General features: G+C 41.2%; 1 long non-coding RNA gene across 1 annotated transcript; it reads right to left on the bottom strand.

Moving 5' to 3' along the window:
• Positions 1-425: 425 nt before the first annotated feature.
• Positions 426-2,990, bottom strand: LINC02110 (long intergenic non-protein coding RNA 2110). The gene is made up of 2 exons (NR_134262.1): positions 2,944-2,990; positions 426-924 (listed from the first exon to the last, which is right to left on the bottom strand). It is a non-coding gene; the product is annotated as a long intergenic non-protein coding RNA 2110 (long non-coding RNA).
• Positions 2,991-9,976: the final 6,986 nt, after the last annotated feature.

The raw sequence follows: 9,976 nt of genomic DNA, 5'->3' as shown, positions 1-9,976 counted from the left end.
CCTGGCCAATATGGTGAAACACCGTCTCTACTAAAAATATAAAAATTAGCCAGGTGTGTCGGTGTGCACCTATAATCCCAGCTACTTGGGAGGCTGAGGCAGGAGAATCGCTTGAACCCAGGAGGTGGAGGTTGCAGTGAGCAGAGGCTTTGCCACTGCATTCCAGCCTGGGTGACAGAGCGAGACTCCATTTCAAAATAACAAAGAACCATTTATGGCCAGTAGAGTAGCCAAATGATTATGCCACAGCTAGTTAGTGGAAACTCTGGGAATAGGCCTCAGCTAACCCAGCTCCTAATTGGGGCTCTTTCCTTTTATTCATCTTTTTTCAACAAACATTTATTGTGTGCCTACAAAGGCAAGAGAAAACATGGCCAACCATGCACTGGCTCTGAAAACTTTTGGCTCAGAAGTGACGCATATCCTTTCTGCTCACATTTTATTAGACAACCAAGCAAGTCATTGTCCATGCCCAATTTCAACAGGCAGGGATAAATTAGCTTCTCATGGAAAAGGCGGAGTATTTGTGAACAGTAAGACAGTCCTCCACAAAAGCCCAGGGTCCAGGACAAGGGTTGGTTTCACCTAGATTAGCTAAGAAGTTAGGAGCTCAGCAGACGAATCAGCCAATAAAAGGAGGCAACCACATTTCCTCATTCCTCAACCAAAACTAGAGACATCTGAGAGACATGGACACTGATGAGGAGCATAGGCTAGAAGCACTATTTGGAAGTTCTTTGGCGGAGAGAAGTGTTTTTTCCATCTCTGGGAAGTCAAGGACATGTATTCATGAGCTCCTTTTAACAAATGACCTAAAATTTTGCATATACACACAAATATTTGACCAGATGGGTCTCAGGTCCTGAAGATGAAACACATCACCAAGATGGCATCTGCTCTTGGCTCCTTCCAGCATTCCAGACCCTGAAACCAGATGATCTTTTTTAAATAAAAATCTGGTTGTGTTTTCCACCCTTCTTCCACCTTCCCATGTACAACTTTCCATTGCTTAAAATGCATCAATGGCTTTCTGTTGTTTTTACTCTGAAGCTTAAAATCCTAACTAACAGCTCCAGCCTCTCTCTGTTCCATGTACACAGTCCTGCTTTTAGTTCTTTAGGATCTCCATGCTTCTTCCTACCCACAGAGCCGTTCCGCATGCTATTCCTCCTGTGTAGAATGCTTTTCCCTATCCCCTTCATCCAGGTAATTCCTTATCTCTTTAGATCTTGGCTTATTGCTATTGCCTTAAGAAAGTCTTCCCTGACCTCACCAAGTCAATCCCTCTCGATTATTCATACAACAAGTATTTATTGAATACCTACTAAGTTCCAGGCATTGACCTAGTTGCTAGGAATGTAAAGGCAATGAGACAATTGACATGCCAGGGAGGGACAAAAAATAAACAATAAAAATACCTCTGTCAGGTATGACAGGTGCTATGAACAAGAAATGAACAGAGTAAAGGGTGAAAGGGCCAAGCACTGTTTTAGATAAAGTGGTCAAAGTTAAGTGGTCTCTGAAGCTCCTCTGAAGAGAGGACCACTTAACTGCACCCTAAATGCAGAGAAAAACAAAGCTCTGCTACCTGGAAGAAAAATGTTCCTGATAGAGGGAATGACAATTGCCAATGCCCTGAAGACAGGGTGTTGGAAGAATAGCCAATGTATTATGACTTATTTCAGTACTTTGTAGCTTATCATAGCACTATCACTGTATGATTTAAAAATTCATTTGTGTTACTTGATTAGTGTTCATTGCTCCTCTAGACTGTTACTTCAAAAGGCATAAAGGCAGGAGCTGTATCCATTTTTTGCTCATCATTGGACATTGAATCTCCTATGTTGTGCCTGGCATCTAGCACACAGTAGGTCCTTGATAAACATTTGTAGAATGGTGAAGAAATGATGGCTAATGATGAATGATAAAGCATATGCCCAAATGACTACAATCTTAGGTGTTTTCTCTGCCTCACTCATGTACATTCAGAACTCTCCTCTAAATGCCAAGAGCTGTTTTCCTGAAAATCTTGGCCTGAATCCTTTTTTCTGATGAAGATAACATGCCTGGCCAATGAATTCTAGAAAGTCAATGCCCCCAAAAAACAGCCTGCTACCAGTGACAGACAGAGAGTCGGAGGATAAATATACCCCAGCTTCCTTGTCCCTTAAACGGGATAACTCTAAGGCAGTGGTTTCTCAATTCTTCACAAATGATTCCCCCAGGGGACATTTGACAATGTTTAGAGAATTTTTAGATTGTCACAACAGGTGGGAGGAGGGGTGGGGAGGAGATGCAACTTGCATCTAACGGGTACAGTTCAGGATGCTACTAACCATCTAACAGCACAAAGGACAATCCCCTAAACCAAGAATTATCCAGCCCCAGATATCAACAGTGCCGAGTTTGTGAAACCCTGCTCTAAGGTATCTGTTCTATATGGTCTCCCCGAGTACCCTAGCAGAACCAAGGTCCAGTTGCCCATGGTGGTGACTGGTTTGATAACACATCATTTATTGGCTTCCTCCCTCCTCTTCCCTGCCTCACTTCCCAGGTGGTGTTTCCTGGGATCACCTACCAAATAAATGACTTGCCCTCAATTCCTCATTTCAGATTCTGCTTCGAGGGAAATCCAAACCACAAAATATCCCTCAAATCTTATATTTCTCAGAAACTAGTCTCTCCAACTCTTGGCCTGGCTAAGTAATAAAGCCATGGGACTGGCCTAGGAGACCCCAAGGAATAAGCAGCTAACACTGGCATCTGAAACTGGCACCACGTGAGCTGCAGCTCTTAAGGAAAGGCTGTGCCATCTGACAAAGTGTCCGGTTTGGGGAAAAGAAGCTTACTTCCCACTGGCACCCTCGGAGAGTCATTCAATTTGGAATAGAGACAGGAGAAAGAATGGTGAGGCTGGAAATGGAAAACCTGTTCAAATCCCACCTCTGTTGCTAACTGGATCCTTTTTCCTCGCCAAGTCTCTAATTTGTTGTATACTCCATTTTCCCATATTTCAAATGAGTTTGTTCAGTTAGAAGATCGCTGAGGACTCTTGGAGCCCTATCATTCTAGAATTATAAGAAGAAAACACTCACCTTCCGTGTCCCTTCCACCGTAACCCAAGCATTGTCTTCTTTGTTCAGAGGCCTCTTCTCCTGGGGCCACCTGGGACCCCTCCACCCCAAGCTGACGCACCTCCCACCGTAGCACTTCATGACAGATCTTCCTTCTCCGTCTGCCTCTGTTAGCACTTACATGATCCACAAGCTTGCAGCTCAGTTCAACTCTTAAAAATCATCACATCTCTGGGCTTTCATTTCCTAGAGACAAAGGCACGAAGAAGTTGGCTGTCTTTCTCAAGATTGCAAAGTTGCAAAACCCAGCTCCAAGTCCATGACCTTCCCACCACCAAACCCCACACTTGAACAAGTGGACAAATAAACCTCAGCAGGCACTGGCTATATACTGGGTATGGATTTCAAGTGCAAAGGAAAAAGAAAAAATTTAACTCTTTATCCTATTTAACAAAAATAATTAAGAAATGGAATGTTCTGATTGAAAATTACCAAGCATATGATGTATGGATGATCAACTTTTGAAGAATTTGAAACAATTAGAAATTAGAAAACAGAAGCCCACATCCTTTGAAACCCATAGTGCAGGTAGGTGAATGCTTTCTTCATGGTGCCTAAGACATTTTGGAATGGCAAAGATAACAGTAATGCCTGGCATTGCTTTATCTCCATGTCATTTGCAGTTTCGGTTTATTTCCAAAGGTTTCTGTAGCAATCAAAAGAACTAGGCAATAATTTAAGTGAGACTGAAACATCAGTCAAGGGCGTGGAATTTGGGAAAATAAATTACTGCTGTGCCTCTTCCTGATAAGAAAATAAGGATGATTGTTTGCCTTTTATTTATTTTTGACAAAACAGAGTTATTTAATAAGTGAAAATATATCAAAGGTAAAAATAGTTTTATAAAGAAGTTCTGAATATTTTATTATTAAAGTAACATAAACTCATTTAGAAATTAAACAGTAAGTAAAACAAATAGCATGAAAATAAAATTATAATTGCCTTTAATTTCACACTTAGAGACCACCATTATTTGTTTCATGTATTTCTAATATTTTCAGACTTTTTTTTTTTTTGAGACAGAGTCTGGCTCTGTCGCCAGGCTGGAGTTTAGTGGCATGATCTCGTCTCACTGCAACCTCCACCTCCCAGGTTCAAGCAATTCTCCTGCCTCAGCCTCCTAAGCAGTTGGGACTATAGGCACACACCATCACTCCCAGCTAATTTCTGTATTCTCAGTAGAGATGGGGTTTCACCATGTTGGCCATGATGGTCTCCATCTCTTGACATTGTGATCTGCCCATCTCGGCCTCCCAAAGTGCTGGGATTACAAGCATGAGCCACCATGCCCAGCCCAGACATTTTTAACAAAAATAAAATTCATATTGTCTAATATGCGTACAATTCTTATATCTTTCCATTTCACTTTTCACTGTGTCATGAACATTTAAGCATGGGTTCTGATTTTTTAACAATTGTATAATATTCCATTTATCTATCAGTCAATGAAAAACAGATTTAACCAAGCCCTCATTGCTGGGTACTTAGGTTGAATCCAATTTCTATCTCCCACAGAAATCTCTGAATCTCCACCAGACTTCAAGAAACAAAATCACTGGGTCGAAGGATATAAACATTATTTAAGGTTTAGAGAAGGTTTTAAAGCAATAAAGGCAAGGAAATATTTAGTACTTTTTTCATTTATTCCTAACTTGCCTAACAAAGGTTAATGACCCCGGCCTTATCCACAGATTTGACTATAATTTTTCATTTTCACCTTGAGATTTTATTTTGGAATTGTTATCTCTTTGGACCCTGGCTCTTTGGGCGGAGTCTAGCATCAAAATTTTTAGAGAAGGATGTTTTCTGGGGTACTGGAAATATTCTACTTCTTTATCTGGATGGCGGTTACATAGATATATTCAGTTTGTGAAGATTCATGGGACTGTACATTTATGATTTATGCACTTTTCTGTATGTTTGTTTCACTTAATAAAAATTATGCTTACAAAAATAGTGCTTCGTTAAATCATGAAATGTTAATTTCCTCAAGTGAGCCCTAAACAGCCATGAAATCCTTGTGGTCTTGGAGATCAAATAATATGAGTATTTGAAACCACTCGATGTTTTTTAGATACAAATAATTATTATCATCATCACCTGAATGAAGTCATTCTTGCTAAACATATGAATAAGGTAACACTCTCAGAAGGCATTTTTATTTTACAATGCAATTAATTCTGAAATTGGTGAGTTGACAGGTGTGGAGAGGGAGTCTTTGGATAGGCAGTTTTTTCCCATGCATACTCCCTCTGATTCCCTCACCTAGGGAGTAAGGTACATGTAGCATGGGTAGTCAGGCCACTCAGACTCTAGTTTTAGAATCTAGAATTCCCAATTACAGATTACCCAGGACACACAGTTCAGCAAGTTCATCAATATCCAGGCTCAGTTTCTCATCTAAGAAATGTTGCTTGGTTCTCTCTGGGCAAGGCCAACACATACAGCTGGGAGGGCTGTTCGCTGCACAAGGACACCTGGCTAAGATATCTTAGGGGGATGATGTCCAGGGCTCACCAAGTCATACATCCTGGCTGGGGATTAATCCACTCAGAAGAAGGGGGGCCTCTTAAAAATATAGACAAAGATGCCAAATGAGCTCCCATGCTCCATCTCTCCCACTTTTAGGCCAAGCCCCGTGGATTAACTAGGCTGATCCACCATGACAGTGGGCAATTATTCAGGCAAGAAGTCATCATCAGGCAGGGTATGCTCCCACAGCTGCACAACATGGGTTTGACTTTAGTTCTAAAACAGGCCCTGTCAGCCCTGTGCTCTGGATGAAATCCCCAGAAACTCCTGGGCTCCTGACACCTGTGATGGCTCATTCATGTGTTAACTTGGCTGAGCTATGGTGCCCAATTATTTGGTCAACCACTAATCTAAATGTTGCTGTGAAGATATTTGGTGGACATAACTAACATTTACAATCAATAGACTTTAAGTAAAATAGATTACCCTCCATTATGATTGGACCTCATCTAATAAGTTGAAGGACTTAAGAGCAAAGACTCAAGTTTCTCAAAGAAGAAATTCTGACTCAAAACTGCAACATGGAAACCCTGCCTGAGATTCCAGCCTGCTGGCCTGCCCTACAGGTTTCAAACTTGCCAGCCACCACGATATCATGAGCCAATTCCTTAATAAATCTCTTCTGTCTCTCTCTCTCTCTCTCTCTTTTTTTTTTTTTTTTTTTTGAGACAGAGGAGTCTCGTTCTTGTCGCCCAGGCTGGAGTGCAGTGGCATGATCTCGGTTCACTGCAACCTCTACCTCCCAGGTTCAAGTGATTCTCCTGCCTCAGCCTCCTGAGTAGCTTGGATTACAGGCACCCGCCACCATGCCCAGCTAATTTTTGTACTTTTAGTAGAGGCAGGTTTTTGCCATGTTGGCCAGCCTGGTCTCAAACTCTTGACCTCAGGTGATCTGCCTGCCTCAGCCTCCCGAAGTGATGGGATTATAGGCGTAAGCCACCGTGTCCAGCCTCTCTCCTGTCTCTCTCTCTGTGTGTGTGTAGGTGTACATGGAGAGATACATACATATCCCATTATGTATAAATATTATACCCCATAGATGTATATATACATAGATGTCTTCTGGATTCTATTCTCTGGAGAACTCTGACAAATGCAGCATCTGAGAACTGCAGCCCCTACAGTAGAACAGAACCTGATGAGAAGCTTCTTGATTCTCATGAGGCCTTGCACTGGAAGAAGCTTCCAGGAACACAGTGGTTCAAGCCAATCCCAAAGAGCAGAAACCTACAAATGCAGAAATCCCATTTAGCCCTCATTTTAGAAGTCTTTGTAAAGCTTCTACTTACAAATACATGCTCATAGCAGACAATTTTAAGAAAATAACTAAACAGGATAAGATTTCAGGTATCAGGATCTGAAAGTGACTTCAAGACAAGTTTTCATCATTTAGGATGGGCTTTTCCATGCATGATTTCACTTGATCTGGCAGTATCTCTCATGGAATCCAATTCTCATTAAATTCTGGACACGTGAAATAAATGGAATAAAACATGGGGAGAAGCATGTTGTGTTCTGCCACTGAAGCCCACATGACTGCAGAGGAGTTTCTCTAGGTCCCTTGGGCATTGTGCTTTTTAAATAAACTATGTTATTCAGCTGATATTAAAAGCAAAGTGAATGTCTAAAAGTAGTTCAAACAAGGACATCTCCCCTGGATTTTCATGAGCAGGCCCCAAGTCTGAAATGGCATATAATGTCTACTAAAAAAAAAAAAACAAATCTACTTAGAAATTGCAATCAATCATTTTCTTTCCTCCCCTCCCTATTTTCCTTTATCTCTCTTGTAGATTAATCTGAAGAACTTGGCCCAATCGCCTCTTTTCCTGTGTGCACACACCCTTTAGACACCTACAAGCAGATCACTATCACCCTGGGAATGATCAAGGACTGAATGCCATTTTCCCCTTCACCAGCTTTGCACTTTCTCATTTGGAAGCCTCTGGCTGTCAGTCTGTCTACATCTTGCTTGTGTTTTTTTTGTTTGTTTGTTTTGTTTTTTGGCACTATTTCCTTTCAGGTCTACCTTTCTTCTATCAGAATTCCTCTGACAAGGACATAGTTACCTTCTAGCTTTTTCCACCTTCAGCAGGTAGTGTTCACTGGAAGGGAAAATTCTTTTTTTCTTTATTATACTTTAAGTTTTAGGGTACATGTGCACAATGTGCAGGTTAGTTACATATGTATACATGTGCCATGTTGGTGTGCTGCACCCAGTAACTCGTCATTTAACATTAGGTATATCTTCTAATGCTATCCCTCCCCCTTCCCCCCACACCACAACAGGCCCCAGTGTGTGATGTTCCCCTTCCTGTGTCCATGTGTTCTCATTGTTCAATTCCCACCTATGAGTGAGAACATGTGGTGTTTGGTTTTTTGTCCTTGCTATAGTTTGCTGAGAATGATGGTTTCCAGCTTCATCCATGTCGCTACAAAGGACATGAACTCATCATTTTTTATGACTGCATAGTATTCCATGGTGTATATGTGCTACCTTTTCTTAATCCAGTCTATCATTGTTGGACATTTGGCTTGGTTCCAAGTCTTTGCTATTGTGAATAGTGCCGCAATAAACATACATGTGCATGTGTCTTTATAGCAGCATGATTTATAATCTTTTGGGTATATACCCAGTAATGGGATGGCTGGGTCAAATGGTAGTTCTAGATCCTTGAGGAATTGCCACACTGACTTCCACAATGGTTGAACTAGTTTACAGTCCCACCAACAGTGTAAAAGTGTTCCTATTTCTCCACATCCTCTCCAGCACCTGTTGTTTCCTGACTTTTTAATGATCGCCATTCTAACTGGTGTGAGATGGTATCTCATTGTGGTTTTGATTTGCATTTCTCTGATGGCCAGTGATGATGAGCATTTTTTCACGTGTCTTTTGGCTGCATAAATGTCTTCTTTTGAGAAGTGTCTGTTCATATCTGGAAGGGAAAATTCTTAAGAAGTCTTGGTAGAGTAGCCCCCAGTCATCCCCTATGTGTGCCAAGGATGATGAAAATAAGGGGGAGGGGGGGAAGAGAACGAAGAGGTGGAGAAAGTTGAGATGAAGCAAAGATACTTGCAAATTTCTTGCAGATAGGATCTGAGTCTTGCTCATCTTCAAATCCTTACCTCTTAACACCTATGTGCCTAGCACATAGCAAGTGCTTACTCAATGCCTGGAGAATTAAATAATAGAAAAAAGAATGAACAGACATGGAAAAGATCAAAGTCTGTAGGGAGGAAGGCAGAGAGGGAAAGAAAAGAAAGGAAAGGAAGGAAGGGAGGAAGGGAGGGACGGAGGGAGGGAGGGAAAGAAGGAAGAAAATAGGTGACGATTTCTGGCAGTATAAGAAAACTAAATAAGGCTGAGCATGGTGGCTCATGCCTGTAATCCCAACACTTTGGGAGGCCAACGTGGGTGGATCCCTTGAGCCCAGGGGTTCAAGACCAGCCTGGGCATTATGGTGAAACCCTGTCTCTACAAAAATTAGGTGGGCGTGGTGGCACACATCCGTAGTCCCAGCTACTCAGGAGGCTGAGGTGGGAAGATAGCTTGAACCTGGAAGGCAAAGGTTGCAGTAAGCCAAGATTGTGCCACTGTACTCCAGCCTGGGCAACAGAGCCAGAACCTGTCTCAAAAAATAATAATAAAATAAAAATAAAATAAAGAAAACTAAATAAAGCACTGTTTCTTGAATGATTGGTGGTTTGAATCTCAATTTTGGAACTCACTAGCTGGGTCACCTTGGGCAAGTTTGTTAAGCTTTCTAAGCCCCAGTTTCCTGATTAGTATAATGAGGATTATTATAGCACCTACCTCACTGGGTTGTCATGAGGATTAAATGTGGTTATACATGTAAATAATACCCCATAAATGTGAATTATTTTACTTTCTTTATCATCATCATATCATCATGGCAGAGTGAGGACACCATCTCGTAATGTTACTACCACCTATTGATCTTTAAACTGGGTCTCTTGTTCTAGAAATATCTTGATTTAGTAACCAGTGAAATATTAAGAAGACTATTTTGAGGATGTTTGTTGGCCGTTACTCAGGAGGTGATTTAACATGTTAATTTTGTGTTCTGACAGTGCTTAAGGACATGGTGGAGTACATTCAGAACTGTTACATTTTTATATTTTCATCAATGAATTTAACATTTCTTCTGAACGTTCAAAGCATCAGCTAAGAATGTGAAGGAAGTGCATCTTTCATCACTGTATTAATCACACTATAGTGAATTATCACTCCCTGGGTTAACAGTGGAATGTTCCCTTACATCCCGCAATATTTCCAACAGCCCAAACCCACA

This window comes from Homo sapiens, chromosome 5, assembly GCF_000001405.40.
Source record: "Homo sapiens chromosome 5, GRCh38.p14 Primary Assembly".
NCBI classification, from domain to species: domain Eukaryota; kingdom Metazoa; phylum Chordata; class Mammalia; order Primates; family Hominidae; genus Homo; species Homo sapiens.
Note: the sequence above shows the minus strand (reverse complement) of the source record. Positions and strands in the feature narration are given on the sequence as shown.